The sequence below is a fragment of the Homo sapiens genome, chromosome 17, assembly GCF_000001405.40.
Source record: "Homo sapiens chromosome 17, GRCh38.p14 Primary Assembly".
Lineage (NCBI taxonomy): Eukaryota > Metazoa > Chordata > Mammalia > Primates > Hominidae > Homo > Homo sapiens.
The window spans coordinates 9164353-9184757 of record NC_000017.11 but is presented as its reverse complement, the minus strand read 5'-3'; the positions used below and the strand labels follow the sequence as shown (position 1 = coordinate 9184757).

At 52.6% G+C, this 20405-nt stretch overlaps 1 protein-coding gene and 1 long non-coding RNA gene across 4 annotated transcripts in view, besides 2 other annotated features; one reads left to right on the top strand and one right to left on the bottom strand.

The window, feature by feature from the left end:
* The window catches only part of NTN1 (netrin 1), a 240914-nt gene that overhangs the window by 59243 nt on the left and 161266 nt on the right, over nt 1-20405 (bottom strand). For all 3 annotated transcript variants that reach the window (XM_047437096.1, NM_004822.3, XM_006721595.4), the window contains exons 4-5: nt 4802-4951; nt 1789-1842 (exon numbers count right to left, since the gene is read on the bottom strand). In XM_047437096.1, the coding sequence (XP_047293052.1) occupies nt 1789-1842; nt 4802-4951 (204 nt within the window). The remainder of the gene's footprint in view (nt 1-1788; nt 1843-4801; nt 4952-20405) is intronic.
* Nucleotides 1435-1934: an enhancer, noted in NCBI's record as "H3K4me1 hESC enhancer chr17:9086141-9086640 (GRCh37/hg19 assembly coordinates)". NCBI's record gives its function as "activates a minimal SCP1, AML or CMV promoter by ChIP-STARR-seq in primed H9 embryonic stem cells {active_cell/tissue: H9 hESC(primed)}" and the evidence as "EXISTENCE:reporter gene assay evidence [ECO:0000049][PMID:30033119]".
* Nucleotides 4161-4662: an enhancer, noted in NCBI's record as "H3K4me1 hESC enhancer chr17:9083413-9083914 (GRCh37/hg19 assembly coordinates)". NCBI's record gives its function as "activates a minimal SCP1, AML or CMV promoter by ChIP-STARR-seq in primed H9 embryonic stem cells {active_cell/tissue: H9 hESC(primed)}" and the evidence as "EXISTENCE:reporter gene assay evidence [ECO:0000049][PMID:30033119]".
* LOC101928266 (uncharacterized) lies at nt 5640-13690 on the top strand. Its single transcript, NR_110828.1, has 4 exons — nt 5640-5829; nt 6932-11550; nt 11877-11964; nt 12916-13690. It is a non-coding gene; the product is annotated as an uncharacterized LOC101928266 (long non-coding RNA).

Here is a 20405-nt window from a genome sequence, read left to right as displayed (position 1 = left end):
GGAAGGGGAAAAATTCAAAATCAAGGGTTTGTGGGTTTGTGAGAAACTCAAAGTCAAGCTACAAGGACTAGAGAAATGGGGGGAGTGAGAGACAAAGACGGAGATGGAGAGATAGATCATTGAGGTCTGTCTTGCCCTTGCATGAGCTGTCACACAGCCCCTGCTCGGAAGCCTCAGCCCCCCGCGGTGTGCACAGCCTTAAAATCTTGTCCAGGTGAGTCTCAGTTAGGCAAGGACAAATGTCACATCAAAGAGAGCAAGAATCGAAGTTTCATTTAAGTGTCTTCTACCTTCAAAACTGCTCTCCCCTAGAGCTGAAGTAATTTAGGATGTTCCTTTGAATTGTGCTGTGACAGAGAGAGCTTCCTCATCTCCCACCTTAGCTCTGTCATCCAGTCTCCCTGTCATGCTGCTTCCTTCAATCCCTTCTCTTCGCCATTTCCCCTGCATGGGGCTCAACCAAAAGTCCCTAAAGGCTCTGCAAACAACGCAAGACTCAACTGTCTTTGGCTTTCCCAGAGCTGCCTCTGGCACTCCCTGAAACGCATTTCTGTCCTTTCCTGTTTGCTGGCTGTGGACCATGCCTGTGCAAGTGCCGAATCTGTCTTCCCTCAAGTTTCCAGCGCACTGCCAATACTCTCCAAAATCCAGTCTGTATCCTAAAATATTCAGGGGGCCACATGGGTTTGCAAGCTCCCCCATCCCTCGCTACAGTCCTTTCTGGGGGAGGCAAAGAGTCCCCAGCACCAGCATGAATGTCCATGCTGGGGTGCCCCACTGTCACTTTCTGCCCTCTTCTACCCCAAGTACCAGTACACAAAAGTCCTGTGTGATCCCAGGACCAGGACTCTGGGTGCAGGCCTGAGATGCTCTCAGCAGGGCATCTGGCAGGGCTCGGTACACTCTGAGTGCCGACAGCCAGAGCTATGCAACATTTCTTGTGCCAAGGACTGGTGAAGCCTGTGGACCCTTCCTCAGACAAACATTTCCCCATGCTAAAATAAAATATACAGGTCTACAAAGGAAATTAATAATACTGAAATGCTGCTGCCCAAATATCTTTAAAGACCCAGATTGATGGTATGGTTACGTTACGCGAGTGCTTCTTTATTAATGATTATAAATCAGGATCTAGCAGCAGGTCTAGTAACTTCTGTCGTTTTGAGAAGCAATAACCAGCATGAACGATATTTATGATATCTGCACCAGCTAGAATGTGATGTGTAAACCGCTGTGACTTCCGCCAGTGACCACGGTGCAGGCTTGGCCGCATGCTGCGGTCTGCGGCCTCTCTTTGCCATGGAGGAAATGCTAAATTTTTAGTTAGAGGCGAATGAAAATGAAGATGTGATTCTCCCCCACGCCCAGCTCCTGGGCCCCCTGCATTCTGCTTGTGCGACCCTGTGCCCAAGCCTCCTTCTGTATCCCCAGCATCTGGCTCCTTCCTTCTCTGCAGCCCCAGGAAGGAGTGACAACCCCTCAGCCTGGAAGGTGTTGGGCTGGCGGGCAGCTGGTGGACAAGTAGAAGGAGCTCAGTTTTTAGGGTTCCAGGCTTGGGAGAGAGGCATCATTAAAATCTCCTCCATTTGATTCTCAGAGGGAAAGCCACAAAATAGTGTCCTATAGCTCCAGCTTCTTCAATGCAACCCAGGATGCCACTCATACGGAGCAGAGCCCGGACAGTGGTTAGAGGAGTCTGGGCTTTCCAATGCCCCTTCCCCATTAACCCACCCCACCACCCCACCACCCAGCAAAAGCGGGAAATGAGAAGCGAAGGGGGCCGTTTACCTTCAGGCTCCTCCACGCTGCTGGCTGCAGTCGTCGGCGGCGCTACAGGGATCTCTTTGTGAGGTTCAAGACGGGGGCGAGGGGAGGAGAGAAAACAAGGTAAGACGACATGATTTTTTGACTTTAGAATGAGCCCAGCACAGACTCCTCCCAACTTCCTGGGACCCTCCCCTCCGTTTCCCACTCCTTGGCTCAAGAGGAGAAAAGTCAGAAGAGCAGAAGCTGGCAGCGGCATCCTGGGCACGTGGCGTTTTTCTCCTTTCACCTGGCAGGGGGGTGTGGAGAGAAGGCAGGAGTGAGGCGGCAACACAGAGCCTGGCCTTGCCCCCACCCCCTGGGCCTGGCGTCAACTCAGCTCCACCCTTGCGGGTATGGAGAGAGGCTTCCCCAGGCCACTCTGCTCATCGTGATGTGGCTACCTGGGCCCTGCTCATCTCTAAGCTCAACTCACAGGTGGAGAAGGATCCATGGCAGGATAGCACGCAAGGGGCTGGGAACCTGCCCAAAGGGAAAGGTTTCTCCCACGTGCAGAGAAGTGTTGGCAGCACGGCCCAGGTTCCTACAGCCTCACATCTCAAGCGCTAAGGCATTTTCTTAATGGGCAGAATGGGACTGAGAGTGCAGATCCAAGGGCCTCATAAAAGCATGTGATCGTTTTGATTATTCTCTATCTAATATAGCACTCTGGCCAGGTGCAGGGGCTCACATCTGTCATCCCAACACGTTTGGGGCCCAACACGTTTGGGGAGGATGGCTTGAGGCCAGGAGTTTGCAACCAGCCTGGCCAACAAAGCAAGACCTTGCCTCTACAAGAAATAAAACAAATCAGCCAGGCGTGGTGGCACGCACCTGTAGTCCCAGCCACTCAGGAGGCTGAGGCAGGGGGATTCCTTGAGCCCAGGAGTTTGAGGTTGCAGTGAGCTATGATGGTACCACTGCACTCCAGCCTGGGCAACAGAGCAAGATCCTGTCTCAAAAAGTATATATAATAATAAATATTTAAAAAGCAGTTGGTTCCTACTACTTCCCAGACCCCACCCTGTGCTCAAGAAAAGAGAGGCGGTTCAGCCAGTCCCCACTGCTCATCGGTTCAGCAGCCTGGCACTGAAGCTCAGGCTTCCTCTTTCTGAACAAGGCCAAACCATGGACCAGGAGTCCCTAAGAGGAAGGGACTCACTTCCCCTGGTGAGTGACCATGAACCCCACTGACTCTAGCCACCATCTGATTCTTTGCGGTAAAACTCTGACTCCCTAGATTCTAGATGAGCTAGGACTTGAGGCTTGGTGGATGGACATGGGCTACTCAGGCCGGGGGCAAATCTGAGAGGCACCGGAGGCATCCTCTGCTCCTTTAGGAAGAACAAGTGGGGGACACAGCCCTCAATTTGGGGTCAAATCTTGCTCCCAGGCAACTGTATTAGCAACAACAAACCATAGGTGCCCTGTCACAATGGGTTATTAGGAAGCTGGCCCTAAAAAGCCACCTGGTCCCAGCAGGAACATCCTGGAGGCAACATCTGAATGGTCCAGTCTAATCCTGCAAGTCCACAAATGGAGCCGAAGCCAATGGCCACAGAGTCATTGTGACCACCCAACCTCAGTGCCTGAGGTCAGCCTGGCTCTGGGATGCACACACAGGGCCCATGGCTGCCCAAGCTGGGACAAAACAGGGCACGAGTCCCCCAGGCACTGTCTGGGCACCTGTAGCTCTTCCCTCGGGAAGAGCAAGCGAAAATTCCAGGATGGAGCCCCAGGTTGTCCAAGGAGGGACAATGCTCTCGCCAGGCATCAGCCCGCCCTTTGTTAGAGGAGGAGAGAAGGCACAGGCTGGGAAATGAGAGTTCCCAAGGCTTCAGCCTCTGATTCAGAAACACCAGCTCTCGTGTCTAGGCTTGATTTTTCCACCTGGGAATTTGAAATGTTGGTTCCAACCATTTCTGAGCAACCTGAGAACTCCTAATTCCCTGACGGGAGACCTCAGCTTTCCCCCCATGTTTTCCGAACCCCAGATTTCCTCCCAGCTGTCTAAAAATGTTCACCTTGCAGAATCTGGATGGACAGAAGGATTTTGACAAACTGTGAGGCTGACAATTGGAGGTTGTTGTGAAGCTATTTCAACCTGCTCTGCCCTGGATGGGTGCTGAGCCCCCTCTACCAAGGCTTGGACCCTGGTCATTTGCTATTAGCGAGCCCCTGCGAACAGCTGTACGGAACGCCTCAGGGTTGCTATCATCCTTCATTAGGGACACAGGTGCCGTGCATGGAAGCCCTGCCCAGCTCCTCTCGAAGGCCCTGGGCTGTCCGTCCTTTCTGTTCTGAACCCACCAGGGGCAGGGGGAATGCCGGCATTCCGGCAATAGTGACAACAGCACTCCTGGAATGGGCCCACCCAGATCCAGGGTCCAGGTGGACAGTGAGAATGGGGCCAGTGCTGAGGAGAGGGGCTTGCTTTTCCCCAGAAACAGGAGACTCAGTGTTTGTCAGGATAGACAGCCTCAGACAGGCTGGCTCTGCTGAGCCCCCAGTGGCTTCTGCAAGAACTCTATGAGCTTGGGGGGTCTCCCACGTGGACTCACTGAGCATGAGGCCTTGAATGCAGGAATGCACATTGAAGACAGAACCCACTGAATGGGCCAGGCGCGGTGGCTCATGCCTCTAATCCCAGCGCTTTGGGAGGCCAAGGTGGGTGGATCACCTGAGGTCAGGAGTTCAAGACCAGCCTGGCCAACACAGCGAAATCCCATCTCTATTAAAAAGACAAAAATCAGCGGGGCATGAAGGCTTGCGCCTGTAATTCCAGCTACTTGGAAGACTGAGGCAGGAGAATCACTTAAACCTGGGAGGCAGAGGTTGCAGTGAGCTGAGATCGTGCCACTGCACTCCAGCCTGGGCGACACAGTGAGACTCAACCAACCAAAAAAGGAACCCACTGAACATCAGTGACTAGCATCCTCAAAAGCTCACTGTCCCCCACAAAGCCAGAGACTTGAAAAGCAGGGTGCCCCACACATACTTATGCAGGGGGCGATGGGAGAGCGGCTCTGCTGGTAGCCTTTGGCGCAGCGGTTGCAGGTGATACCCGTCACGCCGTCCTTGCAGGGACACTGGCCGGTGGTTTGGTTGCAGGTTTTGCCAGCAGCACCCACAGGGTGGCAATCACAGGCTGCAGAGAACACAAAATGGGAGGGTCAGACAAGGGGGAAGCGGCCAGTGCATCCCCGCAGAGCCTTCCCTACCCAGGGCTGCCTCCATGGACCCTGCCCTGGAGGAAGAGCAGCGATGGGGAGCAGGCCCAGCCAAGCCCAAACGCACTCCGGAAGCTCTGACACTGGCCACCCACCTACCTGGAAACGGAGAATAAAAACCAAAATGGACCGACCTGAAGAGACTGCTTTGGCAGCAGGAAAGTGAAATGCAGAAGCCCTTTGGAAGCCCAGGAGGAAGGCTTTCAAATACCTTCTCGGGAAGGCAGAGCCCGTAGCCCTCATCACGCCTGGGTGGAGGAGTCAGGATCGGGGGATACACCTTCCCTTGACAGGGTCGGCTTATGCGTTTTCACTCTGTCCTCAACCAGCTCCCTGCCCCCAAGTTTTCTTGCCAACCCAGGGCATGGGAGGAGTGGGGTTTGAGGCCTGGTGAAGCTCTGGGGTTTGCCAGGTTAGAGGGAGTCACAGGGAGGGGTGGCTCCCCCAGCTGCTGCCCCCCAACACCTGACCCTACTTTGCAGCCAGGCAGCCTTCTGAATCACAAAACCCATAAACTGTAGCACTAGAGAGGGTCACGGTGATCATTTAGCTTAAAGCCCTGATTAAATGTGCAAACAAAGACGGGAGAGGTAAAGGAAACTCCCAGAGCCTCACAGGAAGGGAACGGCCAGGCTGGGAGCTGAAGCAAGGCCCGGGATTCTCAAGCCAGCAACTACGGCTCCACAGAGCAGGCCCCCCACCCTCCTCCTGGGCTTGAAAGGGTGGAGAGGTGGGGTTGCCCACCCTGTCATGCTTCACGGAGGCTCTGTCGCTGTGTCCCAAGAAGCCAATTCTGGTAAGAGAGTAGCCACAGGACCTCAGGAGGATGTCCCACCAACACAGATGCTCAGGGCAAGAACAGCTATACCTGTAGGCACAGGACACCAGCGTTCCCTGCTAAGTCCTGCCTCCCTGAAGCTAGGCGGTGGCCTCAGAGTGTGGTGGGGAAGGGGAACACCGAAGGAAGAAGGCAAATGTCCTGCCCATGCCCCATCCTGGAGGCTGGAAGTGGGGAGTCGTCTGCAGTAAGGCGTCCGGCAGCAATTCCAGGTGTCCCCTCGTGGCTGCTAATCTGTTCCTCCTCCAAAAGGACCAAAAAACCCAAGAATGCAAGTGAGAGCAGAGGCTCTGAAGCAGCCAGATTAGAACTTCCCAGCAAGCACTGCTGGGCGTGAGCACGGGAGTCTGTGGCTCAAAACACGACCTCTCCCAGCCCAGCCGGCCTCGGGCCCAGGAGTGGCCAATGAGGAGAATTAGGAAGAGGAGGGAGGGAGGAAGGTGGAGAAGAGAAGAATGTGAGGAATTGTTTGTTGAAGTTGTGTCTGGACATGCAAAACCTCCTGGAATCACTCAGAGTGAGGGTCCCAGGGCTGGGGGTGCCCCCATCAGGTGGGAGGAGGGTGGGGGCACAGGCCCTGGCACGGGGGCAGCCTACAGGGCTCCCTGCCTGTAGGCTGATGGAACTGCTCCAGTCTTGCTGCTGCTTCTTATAGATAGAAGTAATGCTGGGTTGTTTTTCTTTTCTTTTGAGATGGATTTCACTCTTGTTGCCCAGGCTAGAGTGCAATGGCGTAATCTCGGCTCACTGCAACCTCCGCCTCCCGGGTTCAAACGATTCTCCTGCCTCAGCTTCCCGAGTAGCTGGGATTACAGGTGCCCACCATCACACCCAGCTAATTTTGTTGTATTTTTAGTAGAGATGGGGTTTTAACACGTCAGCCAGGCTGGTCTCGAACTCCTGACCTCAGGTGATCTGCCCGCCTTGGCCTCCCAAAGTGCTGGGATTACAGGCGTGAGCCACCGCGACCAGCCAGAAGCAATGCCTTTTGTTAGGAAATTGTCTTCTTAGATGTACCCTAAATTCAAGTTCATTCTCTGTTGTTTGTCTCTCTCGACAGTAAGAAAAGATCCAGCCTTGACGGCCCATGGAGACGTGCAGAAGAGGCGGCGGCGAGGAGGGGAGGCTGGAGAGGGTCTCTGACCTTTCCCTATGGTCTCTTAAATTCGTCCATGGTAGGAAGGGAGATGGAGCATGGGCAGTGCCTCTAAGTCGGCCGTGCGAATGCAAAGGGCCACAGCACAGGCTCCTACTGTCTTCGAAGCCCCTGATGCAAGCGTGAGCATCAGGGCCTCAGGCCGGCTGACCTCCCTTAGCCAGCTGGTAATCCTAAGATTCATGCCAAGACATTCTCCCCTCCGAGCTGATGGAACACAGCTGTGCACCAGTAACTTCTGGATCCTTGGATTTGGCTGAAGGGAGGTCACCAAAGGTTGCTCGGTCACTGCACGTTCAGAGCCAAGTCACACGTGGACACCCTCATTGGCCCAGGTTGTCTTTATCTTGGCAGCGGCCGACCCAGAGCAGACTCTGGGTGGAGTCAGGATGGTGCATTGTTCTCCCCCACAGCCGGTGACCCGCTTAGCTGCCTGGGCTGGCACCAGCTGAGGTCTGGCGGAGTGAGGGCCGTCCCCGGTAATGGCAGGGCCACTGTGTCTGCTGGGTGCGGCAGACGCTTCCTAAGGGCCCACTCTTTGGTTCAACATGAGCTGATGCTTGCTCCTGGGTTTCCAAATCTTTCTGAGATTCTGCAAGAATCTGACCTATTCCTCTGGTTTATGGAGGCAGCGGGCTGACTTGTGTTTCCCCACCAGCAGATCATTGTTCTAGGAAGGGAGGCAATCAGGGTCCCAAAGGGGCTGCCCAAGGCAGAGTATTCTTCAGCAGTAGCTGCCCCGTGCCAACTCCTGCAAACTCCTTAGCACATCCACACTCTCTCATACGTGTCGAATCCCTTGGTCCTTGCGACAGCCCTCTGAAATGCGCGTGACAGCACAGAGGAGGCCAGGGACCAGAAAAGACAACTGCAGGAGAAAGCTGGGGGCTGTGCGGAGAGGTGGAAAGAGCCTGGATCTCTGAGGGAACTACCCTTTCTAAATGGCCCCCTTTGTATTTCTTGTTCTGCAAGGAGAAATAAGCTCCTATCTTATAATATGATGTGGGTTTTCTGTTACCTGTACCCAGTGCAATCCTAACAGACTTGCCTGGAATTCATTCTCAATCTCCAGCCAAAGGAGATTACCCAAAGAACTTTTCCTAAAAATTCACAAATCGAGATGGCCCCCATTATACCCTGTGCAAAGTCTGAGTTTCAAGGTGTAGGGAGAGTTGACAGATGGCAATGCCATACTATGGCCTGGAAAGGGAGAATGTGACTGGCAGTGCCAAAGGAAGAGAGGCTGAGCCCAAGGGAAGACTCAGGCCCTGGCCTTGAGGAAGAGGAAGTCAAAAGCATCCTGCTGTAGTCCCTTGACCCTGAAATATACACAGACACAGACACATCAAAGTTCCTACTAACACACAGAGACTCACACATATTCCCAGAAACACACAGATACAAGCAGACTCCTACTAATTCTCCCTCCCTCGCTCTCATCTACATACATTGACTCACAAACACACGGATTCTTATCTACAAACTCACCCACGCACAGACATATACTCAGATCCACAAAGCCACACACACAGACACAGACACACAGGGCCACGGGGGGGCAGGGGAGGGGAGGTGTGGAGTGAGCTGGGGAGAAGGTGGCAGTTAGGTGAGTGGAGGTCTTTTCCTTTGCAGGGGAGGTGGTGGGGGTGTCTGGTGAGGGAGACAAAGAGAGAGCCTCCCTAATTCCTCTGAGAACGTGGTCTGGGTCAGAACATCTTCCGCCATAGGAAGCCGCTGGGTGGCTCCCATGTCCCTGGAAGTCAGCCACTTTTTTCAGAGGGAGGTCAATCCCTTCCATGGCAGGTCACCCCGTGTGCAAGGAGCAGGCAGCACCTGGCCATGGGAAACAATCAACCCGGGGATTTTTTCCATAAAGAGAAAGGTGAGGCCAGACGGAAGCCCAGGTCCCTGAGAACACGGCAAGATCAGGTTTCCCATGAAACCGCAGGCTGGAGAGCCTCCCAGTGAAGCAGAGAACCCACGCGGTCCTTGCTCTGGGTCATGAGACAGGGACAGACAGCTCAGGTGACCCACGCGCTTTCAGACAGGTAAGAGGGGATCCAGGTCTGGCGCCCCACCCTCCCAGTGACCCTGGGTTAGTGCCTTTCTCTCTCTGGACCACCGGTGGCTCACCTGTAAGGACAGAGGTCTCCCTCTAAAGTCCCACTGAAGTGACTTACAACTTAACAGGCTAAGGTTTTTGCCTCCCTGCTGGGTCCAAAGGAACCAGGGCAGCAGCCCCCACCCTTTGACCATCGCCCCTTCTGCTGCCGTTCCTCAGTGTCTTGGCAAGAGGGCAGGGGAAAGGGCTCCTGTTGCAGGGCACACCGGGCCTTCCGTACACCCTTACTGCTGGCCCTGCCTGCACCAGCACCCACCTGCATGGTGCCAGAATCTTGTTGAGATTTGGTTTGTCGGTGAAGAGAGGGAGTACCCAGGGACTTCCGAGAGCCCTGGCAAAGCTGACCTGGATGGCAGGTGGTTCTCATCGTCAGTTTCTTGTGCCCAAGTAGCTGCCTTTTCCCACTCCCTCTGACACTCTCTGAAGGGATCCCTGAAGGCTCCTGGGCTCTGCCAGGGAGGAGACACACTCCTGAGCCTGGCACCCTTTCCACTGAAGCACATACTAAGGCTTTCCAGAAGTCTGTCCTGGGCTCCTATCCAGAGGTCTGGCTACTTTTCCTGAGGACTCTGGCTCCAGGGGCTCTTGAGGTCAGGCAGGACCTTCAAATGGCAGTGATCCAAGGCCACGTGCCCATAGAGGACAGGAAAGCCAGCTGGGCATGAGCTCCTCTGGAGCAGCTTCAGGTAGGACAGGGGAGACAGAACAGCCACAGCCCCACCCTCACTTCAGACACCACCACAGCCACCACCCAGGCCTCTGGCCAGTCCTGAAGTTCCGCTTCTGGCCTGACCTTGTGCTATGGGCTAAACTGTGTACTCCCTGCCACACACAATGCTGATGCGGAAACTCTAATCCCCAGTACCTCAAAGTTGGATGTATTTGGACATAGGGGCTTTAAAGAGCTGATTAATTTAAAGTGAGGTCACTGGGGTGGAACCTGATCCAACATGACCGGTGTCCTTATTAGAAGAGGGCATCGGGATACAGATGAGTGCAGTGGAAAGACCCTGTGAAGACACAGGGAGAAGACGGTTATCTGCAAGCCAAGGAAAGAGGCCTGGAGCAGATGTTTCTTGGAACAAAACCAGCCCTGCTGACACCTTGATCTTGGACTTCCAGCCTCCAGAACTATGAGACATAAACTTCTGTTGTTTAAGCCAATCAGTCTGAGGCACTTTGCAGCCTGCACTGACTAACACACCTGTGTGGAGCCTCAGGTAAGCATCTTCTTCTCCAGGACCCTCCTAGGCCTGTCCTGTACTCATGGGAAGGAAGACTGCCCCACCACTCCACCAATCAGCTCTTTCATCCCCTGGCTCCCTGTGGAAGTCACCACCTTTGCTGGAAGAGGAAAACCTTCTCCATGGCAGGCCATGTCTCTGAGGGTCCCCAAAACCCCCACAGGCCAGCAGAGCAGCTCTCAGCTTCCATGATCTTTAGAGCCCCTGCTGGCTCTGATTCCCAACAGGTCTCACAGCTCACAGACCATCTGAGGGCTGTTCTCAAAAGGGCACTGGCAGAGGCCTTGAGCAGGAAGTGCTGCAGGTCCTAAGAGCCCTCAGAAGGCTGGCACGAGGTCAGAGAAGGGAGGCCGGCCCCATCAGCAGCCCCCTCCTCACCTGTACAGCAATGCAGGGGGTGCCCTCTGTTCCAGTCCAGAAGAAGAAAGGGCTCACACAGCAAGTGCTGAAGGCATCCCTCCCAAAGTCTGATGGGAAACTCCCTTCCTAGTCCTCACAAGACTTCCAAGGGACAGAGGAATGCAACAGACAGAGAAAACACCCTGCCCTGAATCCCGGGACATTGCCCCAGCAGTGAATGTGGAAATCTTGCCAAGTTTCCCCAGGGAGGGCTGAACCCTGGAGCCAATTGTGAGGCTCCATGTGACTCCAAGTCCTACAGCTCATGCCAAAGGGCTGCATCTGCCTGTGGCCCTCCTGGGCTGGGGGAGACAGTCTTCTCTGCTTTGAGTAGTATCAGTCTGCATAGGTGGACGCCATCCACAAAGAACGTAGGGGTAGACGAGGCCCTGTGGACAGGCCCCACGGCGTGGGCCAGGCTGCTCCCTGGCTGCTGTGGAGGTCAGGGAGGTCGACTGCAGCAGCTTGCTTGGTGCAGTGAGGACAGTCCAAAGAGTCAGCAAGGGCCAGCATCTTCAGAGAAAAGCAGGATCCAGAGGCTCCCCAGGTCCCCATATCTCTGGTGGGTGTCAGGCCTCTTGGAGGAAGCCTGGTGGGACCCTCACTAGAGGTGACACTGGAGAGAAGATGATGTCAGGGACAGAGGTGTCCAAGCACCCATTTCTTCCCCACTCCCCAAAACAGGAGTGAAGGATCAGCAACCAAAAGAAGAAACACAGGAAAACCAGCAGGGCATTCTGGAATGGAGCGGACCTAATGTAAGGTGGCGGCGAAGACACCAGGCAGGCAGGGCTTTTGGGGGCAGGGCAGACAGAGAGACCAGGGGAGGGGAGGGAGTGCTGACCCAGGGAGACTGGTCTCTAAGTGAGTTCAGAGCTTTGAGGTATGGGAGATGGGGAACAAGGAGGCCCAAAGACGCAGTGTCAGAGAGCCCTAGGGAAGGAGTTTCTTCTTATTGCTATTATCATTTAATTTGCATAGAGTAAAATTCACTTTTTTTGGTGTAGTCTTATGGGTTTGTATCATGTGCATACATTTTTTTTTTTTTTTTTTTTTGAGATGTAGTTTCACTCTTGTTGCCCAGGCTGGAGTGCAATGGTGCAATCTTGGCTCACTGCAACCTCCGCCTCCCAGGTTCAAGTGATTCTCCTGCCTCAGCCTCCTGACCTCAGGTGATCTACCCGCCTTGGCCTCCCAAAGTGCTGGGATTACAGGCATGAGCCACCGCTTCCGGCCTCATGGTAGTTTTAACCTGCAGTTCTCTAATGACTAAGGACGTTCCATGTATTTATTTGTGATCTGCCCGTCTTTGATGATGTTTCCATTCAAGTGTTTTGCCCATGTTTAATTGGGTTGTTTGTTTCCTTGTTGTTGAATTTTGAGAGTCATTTACATCTTTGATATTCAAGTCCTCCATCAGACGTGGGATGTGCAAGTATCTTCTCTTCATCTGTGGCTTGTCTTACAGAAGGAGCTTCTCTTTTTTTGAGACGGAGTCTCGCTCTGTCGCCCAGGCTGGAGTGCAGTGGTGTGATCTCGGCTCACTGCAAGCTCCGCCTCCCGGGTCACGCCATTCTCCTACCTCAGCCTCCCGAGTAGCTGGGACTACAGGCACCCACCACCACGCCCAGCTAATTTTTTGTATTTTCACTATGTTTCCCAGGATGGTCTCGATCTCCTGACCTCGTGATCTGCCCTCCTCGGCCTCCCAAAGTGCTGGGATTACAGGCGTGAGCCACCGCACCCCGCCTAGAAAGGGCTTCTTAAAAGGTTAGCCTGGCCAGGCGCAGTGGCTCACATCTGTAATCCCGGCACTTTGGGATTACCAGGTGGGCGGATCACCTGAGGTTGGGAGTTCGAGACCAGCCTGACTAACATGGTGAAACTGCATTTCTACTAAAAATACAAAATTAGGCAGGTGTGGTGGCGCATGCCTGTAATCCCAGCTACTCGGGAGGGTGAGGCAGGAGAATCACTTGAACCCGTGAGGCAGAGGTTGTGGCGAGCCAAGGTCACGCCATTGCACTCCAGCCTGGGCAACAAGAGCGAAACTCCGTCTCAAAAAAAAAAAAAAAAAAAAAAGTGAGCCTGATATATTACTCAGTTAACTCTTCTCCTTCCAGCCTTCCAGTGCTCTGAGAATGGGACCCAACTCCTCTCCAGACACCAAGGAGCTGACTCTTCCCACCCCTTCCTCCCTCTCTTCCCTTCTGACCAAGGGCCCACCAAGCCCTTTCCTGCTTCCAGACTTTGGTTCTTCCTGGAATGTTCTTCCCTCAGCTTCCTTGTGGCTGTTTCCTCCCCACACCCCAGGTCTCATCTCAGATGTCCTGTCCGCGAGAAGCCCCTCCAGGGCCACCTTGTAGCGCAGCTTGCCCAGTTACTCTCTCCTTCCACCCTGCTGCTTTCCTCCATGTAACTCACCACAATCCATCATTATCTTCCTTTTTCTTCTTTGTTTATTGTCAACCTCCCATCAAAAAGCAAGCTCCAAGGGCCCATGTCTAGCATGCAATAAGCGTTACACAAACATGTGGTGAATCAAATGAACAAACAATCTTGTTACCAATCTGGATGTAACTCAGGCCAATCTGCCGTCCTTTCCTGGTGGGGAGAGGGGGGCATGTTGCTGCCCCTGCACATCTGGAGGAAAGAATGAGGGGGCAGGTGGGATGACAGTCCCCTCACATCCTAGGTCATCCGCAATCCAATGCCCCTGCACTCTCCACTCTTACATTCTCTGTGTTAACAAGGGAGGGAGGATCACTGAAATCTGAAGATAATCCCCAAACGTCATTTCAGCTGTCTGTGTCAACCTCCTCTGAAGCTATGCTTTCCTTTGCCCCAGCAGTTGCTAACGAGGCACAAAAGAATAAATGTTTCAAGTTGCACAACCTATCCTTTCCCTGCCACTTTCGGATCAAGGTGCAGGCGGCAGGAAGTTGGGGGGAGGGGAGCCCCGTAATCCCAAACTGGGTTATTTGACACTCCGTGATCTAGTTAACTATAGTCTTCCTGCACCTGTTTTACAGCCAAGGAGAAAAGACAGGTCTTGCAAATGATTCCCAGTGTGTGTGTGTGAGTGTGTGTGTGTGTGTGTGTGTCACAAGAGCTTGGGGCAGGAATAGGGCTGTACGACACAGTGGGGCAGGAGCAGGAACCTGGGTCCTGTGTCTGTGCCACAGGTGAGGCAGCTCAGGCCAGCTCAGGCCTCCCAACAGCCCTAAGTCCCAGTCCAGTCAAGGAGTCCCTCAGATGCTGCCTGGTCTTCCTTGGCACTTCCAGAGCCAAATCTGGATGTGCACAGCCCGCCCCCACCTCTCTGTGCTGGGTCTCCACAAGCAGCTGCTGGGCACATCTCTGCCCTTCGACTTGTCATCTTTGCTCCCAAAGCATGGAAATCCTTTATTGAGAGTGTGCAACAGCATTAGGGCCAACCCCTGGGGCCCTGCCCAGTCCTGTGGGAATTGGCTGCCAAGTCCACACTGGGGCTGAGCCCTTCAAGCAAGAGGGGCCGGTTCTCCTGAGGGCCACCACTCACCGAAAGAACCAAAGCAACCAGAGGGTCAAAGAAAGTGTCTCTGCTTTGTGTGTGTGCTGACAATGGCAGAGGGTTCTAGTGTTTCTGTTTTCTCTGACTTGCACAAATAATCATAATAGCTGCCATACATGGAACGCATGCTACATGCCCGGACATCCTCCACATCATCTCATTTAATCTGCACCATAGCCCTAGGAGGGAGGAGGGACTATTCTTCCCATTTGCAGATAAGAAAGCTGAGGCTACTGAGAGTAAATGTCTTGCCTCCAGAGGTGGAGCCTGAACTGTGGTCTGAATAACACCAAGTTCCATGCTTTTCAAAGCTCTGCATCCCAAACCTGTTTACTATCCCCGTGCCACCTGCCCCCGGCCCCATAAGTGCTCTCCTGGCAACAAAAAGCCCAAAAGACACTATTTCCTCAAGTAAAATGCCCTTAACGCTCTGGCCAAACCCAGAACTTCCGTTAACTTGGGGAGCTCAATGATCAGGAGTCTTTTCTGCTCAAGCACAGGAACCCCTGGAGATCCTCCAGGAATTTCTTTTTCTTTTTCTTTTCTTTGAGACGGAGTCTCGCCCTGTCACCCAGGCTGGAGTGCAATGGTGCGATCTCGGCTCACTGTAACCTCTGCCTCCCAGGCTCAAGCGATTCTCCTGCCTCAGCCTCCCGAGTAGCTGGGATTACAGGCATGCGCCACCACACCCGGCTAATTCTTGTATTTTTAGTAGAGACAGGGTTTCACCATGTTGCCCAGGCTGGTCTCAAAATCCTGACCTCAGGTGATCCACCCGCCTCAGCCTCCCAAAGTGCTGGGATTACAGGCGTGAGCCACCGCACCCAGCCAATCCTCCAGGAATTTCTATGTGGCATTTGGGGACAAGAGTGGTCCTGAGAGATCAGAGAACTCACATCCAGGGAGGTGAAAACATGGATGGGCCAAGGGTGTCCAGGGAATGAGCACAGCTGGGCCAGGGAGACCCCGTTTGGCACAGTGCGCCACATGGGTCGAGTCACAAGATCAGGGACTCTTTTCATCTGTAAAGACTGCAGTCAAACCACCTCCACCTAATTTCCTGGCTCTACCAGCTTTTCTGAGTCACCAGATCACAAACTTCACTGCTACAAAGAATTGTCCTATTGTATCAAGTTCTCCTAAGAGGTTGACTACTTAAGAAGCATGTGGAATGTGGAATGTCAAAGCTGGAAGGGATTCAGAGGCCAGCAGCCTGACCATAATCCCACAGATGAGGAGACTGAGGTCTAGAGAGGTCACCAGACTTATCTGATACCCTGTAGACTGAACATGGAGCCAAATACGTAGGTAAGGTTTGTGATGCTCATGTCTCCCAAGGGAAAAGATGCATCCACACAGATCACAGTTGGAGTGAAACTCTTCCACTGGGAATTCTCTCTCCCAAATGCAGTATCTAAGGTGTCAGTTTCTCCCAGTAGGTACTAACCTTACCTGGCCATAATGAAGCCCACTCCTTGCCTTGGGGTCTCTGTCCTCAAAGCTGGAGCCGCTCCAGCCACTAAGTACCTTCCTGCCTCAGATGACCAACCCTTTTCCCTGCACCCCCCACAAAAAAACATGAAAGTATAAATACAGGTAATGGAAATGTGACAGGGGACCCACATATTCAAAGGGTGCCCGAGGCTTTTATAGGGTGGGTGGACAATGCCTTAGAGTCAGGAAGACCAAGAAGGGTGGGGGCCCAGGAACTTTGCTTTGCTGTGAATAAATCCACAAATGATCAGATCTAAACACACATATTCACACACACACGTGCAAGCACTATCTATCTGGCACTGATGACTGTCTGATCTTGTGCCTTAATCAGGCTACACTAGCTAAGCTCCCAGCCTTGCCCAGTAAGATTTTTTTTTTTTTTTGAGACGGCGTTTCACTCTCGTTGCCCAGGCTGGAGTGCAATGGCGCAATCTCGGCTCACTGCAACCTCTGCCTCCTGGGTTCAAGCAATTCTCCTGCCTCAGCCTCCCAAGTAGCTGGGATTACAGGCATGCGCCACTGCGCCCGGCTAATTTTGTATTTTTAGTAGAGACAGGGTTTCTCCATGTTGGTCAGGCTAGTCTCAAACTCCTGACCTCAGGTAATCCGCCCGCCGTGGCCTCCCAAAGTGTTGGGATTACAGGCATGAGCCACCGTGCCCGGCCAGGATTTTTAAATTTAAAAAATTTAAATGCCCAACCTCCCAGTTATCATCAAGATAATCATAAAAAACATTTAAATTCATTGATGATCAATCTATCTCCTCAAAACAATAAACCTGGGGTCTAGGCTGCCTACAAGTCTTCCCTTAATGCCACCAAGAGCAACTCACCATCCTCATTTCTTATTCTCTGTGGTTCTCAGTGTTGGTTACACATTAGAATCTCCAGGGGAGCTTTTCCAATTCCAAATGCCCAGATCGCATCTGGACCCATTAATTAAACCAGAATTTCTGGGGGTGGGATCCAGGCGGCAGTATTTTCAAATCTCCCCAAGTGGTTCCAATGTGCAGCCAAGGGTGAGACTCACAGCATAAGTTACAGACAAATAATGCTGATGACGCCATACAGTGAAGGTGGAGAATCACGAATGAGAAAGTCATGGGGAGTCCCCTGCACACAGTGACCCAAGGAAACAGAGGGGGCAAGACTGTGGTGTTCATTTCCTCCCCATCCAGCAACTCTTGGCTGAGCTGCTGAAAGAAATAAGGGGTGGACGGAAGTAGCAAGAACGTCCTAGCAAAGATGTGAGGACGATTGCATGCTTTTGCCCTGGCTAATTATTGCATCTTCTTGCTTGGGACTCAAGCACCTTCCTAGCCTTCATTCAACCACACGAACTGTGGGCTTGAAAGGGGGAAAGACAATGAGAGAAGGAAACAGGCAGCTCAGTGAGATGGAAATGCAAGCCCTTTGTATGGGGATGCTGGATGCAGTGGTTAATTTCTTAATTCTCATCACAATTCGGTTCACGGGAGACTCCTGGAATGTCTTTATCCATCACAGATGGTTTGGGAAAATGATAAATTAATATTGTTATCAATGGGGGCAGGGCCGAAATGGTTAAATAGCAACGTCGTCTTTGGTCGTCTTTGCCCGCTCTAAAGAGAAAGAGCCCCCAAAGTCCACAAAGAAGACAAATGGTAAACAAAACCTCCTGTCTTTTGACAGACTCCAAGACGAGTATCATTCACAGACCATTCAGCGGAGAAAAGGGAGAAATTTATCTCATCTGCCTTTGTATAGGACAACAGCTTGCACCATAACGAGGCCGTCCCAGTGCTGTGAAATCGCACTGAATAGCTGGAGAGTGCAGCCGCCTGTTCCCCGGGTATGTTTATTACAGTCCTTTGTACGCACCAACCCTGCCAGCTCTGGTTTGCTTCTAAACCAGGGGAGGGGAGAAAGAACCCAACAAATTTGTTGCTACGAAACTTCCCAAATGGGGCAACTACATAGTAATGTTTGGAATCTGATGCCCTTACTCCAGGCTGTTCTTGTCTGGGTCCACCCCTCCTCTACACTGGACAAGGTCCAGAGTCAGCCAATCACCAGCAGCATATGGGTGGCCTCGGCCCCCTGCCCAGGCCCTGTAAAGTCTGGGGTAAAGAGGCCCCAGAGGCCGTTCCCAAGCCAATTTGGGAGTCAAGAACCCCTGCCCTTTGTCCCTGTTCCCCTGTGAAATTCATCTGAAACAAAGCAAAGAAGTGCAGCTCTCACCTGAAGGCCTATGATAGGGCTTCCAGAAGTCATTCTCAAAAGATGGGGCCTAACTGGCCAAGCACGGTGGCTCATACCTGTAATCCCAGCACTTTGGGAGGCTGAGGTGGACAGATCACCTGAAGTCAGGAGTTCGAGACCAGCCTGGCCAACATGATGAAACCCCATATCTACTAAAAATACAAAAATTAGCTGGTTGTGGTGGCTTGCACCTATAATCCCAGCTACTCTGGAGGCTGAGGCAGGAGAATCGCTTGAACCTGGGAGGCAGAGGTTGCAGTGAGCCGAGATTGCACCACTGCACTCCAGCCTGGACAACAGAGTGAGACTCCATCTCAAAAAAAAAAAAAAAAAAAGCCAGAGCCTGGGGGCAGCACCACATCTACAAAATTTCAGAAGCCTCTGAGAGCAAACTGTCAAATATCAAACCTCGCAAGGAACCATTTCCTTGAACCATCTGGCCCTGGGAATACAAGGCAGGAGGTGCTGGTGGTGGTGGTGGTGGTGGTGGTGGTGGTGGTGGTGGTGGTGGTGGTGGTGGTGGTGGAAGGGGGTTGACCAGGAGACCCCTGTTTGAAGATCTCAAGGGTACACATCCCGCCAGCATCTGAACTTCTCCTAACGATGGTTCCTACCAAGATCTCAGGGTCTCTTTTTGGTGGGAAGTGTCCTATATCCCATAAGAGCATGATACCAGGAAAGGAAAGAGCTGAGGGGAAAGATCTGGACTTTCCAGAGATGTCTTTCTTCACCAATCAGATGGCTGGACTTCTTGGGTCAAATTTTTGCTCACCAATCAGAGAGTAGATATTTTCTTGCCAATCATGAAGCAGAGATCTCTGGGCAATGCTTTTTCTCACCAATCAGAAAGCAGAAACCTCAAAGCCCTGTCTTTCCTCACCAATCAGGTGGCAAATATTTTTAAGTGTAGTCTTCTGTCACCAATCAGGTGACAAGTTCCTTGAAGCACTGTCTTTCTTCACCAATCTGATGGCAGTTTCCTTGAAACACTGTCATTCCTCCCCAGTCAACAGGCACTAAGAGTCCCACCCTTTCCTGCCACATTTCTTCAGTAGAATTTGCCTGTGTCTTTCTGAGTAGAATCCATCCTTAGGTTTTCCCGTCCTGTGAGTTATTCTCCCAGGGTTCCCACCAAGGCCGGGGCAGCTGCTGTCCATGGCTGGGAAGGAAAACACAGCCACCTAGGCTGGCCACAATGTTGTAACTCGTAAAACAAGAACACATCCTCATTTATTTGCATCTGGCCCTCCTACAAACCAGTAAAGGAAGGTGGGCAATATCATGCCATTCAGCCAGAGTGGCAGACCCCTGGAGAATGGCCTGCGGGTTCCCGGGACCCTGTGGCTTCCTGACGTCTCTCACTCTGAGTGGTGAGAGGCTGCAAATGGCTCTTGTCCCTGTCCACAGCAACAGGGTGTAGGTGGAGGTGACCAGGGCCCTGCCCCTTCTTGCCTCTCTGGGAAACATACATTTCTAATTGGACAGCAGAAACTGGCATGACAGGAAGTGACCAGTGCCCTTTCTCACCCAGACCTTCTCACTCTCAGGCACAGGACTGCCCACCTGAGTGGCCGCTGTTGGGTAAAATTTCTTGGCTGAACTCCCAAGAAATCTATGTGCAAGCCAGCTGTTTACAAGACCCCTGGCCTCCATTTCTTCTGTAAAAGAGAGACAACAAACACTCTGGGCACAGGCAAAGGAGCTGGATACCTTCCAACTATGTTCTCTGGAAGCCCAAAGCCATCTCTCCCGGGGCTTGTCCTGGTCACACCTTTCTGGCATTGCAGATGTTTCTCGGGTCCCTTTGCCTGGGCCACCTTCCCATTCATTCTCTGCTCAGTCTTCTGGGGGATTCTCACCTGAAACCGTGATTTTTTAAAAAATGTGGAAACAGCCCAGCTACCTTTCTGTTCATGTTTCTCTTGGCAACCACCAGAGGCAGCCGTAAGTCCGCAGACACAGAAGGACACCTTGCTTGACCGAGGGAGCCATTCTACTTATGCCTGTGCATTTGGAATCAAAGGGATTTCTCCTGGAAGAGACAGATTGGGAACCTGTTTATTTTGAGAAAAGTGTTCCACATAAGCAGGGCTGGGTTGGATTCATGGGCCCCGTGCTCAGAAGGGCACCAGCTTGGTTGAAACTCTGCTGTCCTTGTTTCAAAATTCTTAATATCTCTGGAATAAGAAGCCCCCTACTTTGTTACTTTCTTTTTTTTTTCCCCCAAGATGTTCTTTCTTTTTTTTTTTTCGAGACAGTGTTTCGCTCTGTCACCCAGGCTGGAGTGCGGTGGCGCGATCTTGGCTCACTGCAACCTCCGCCT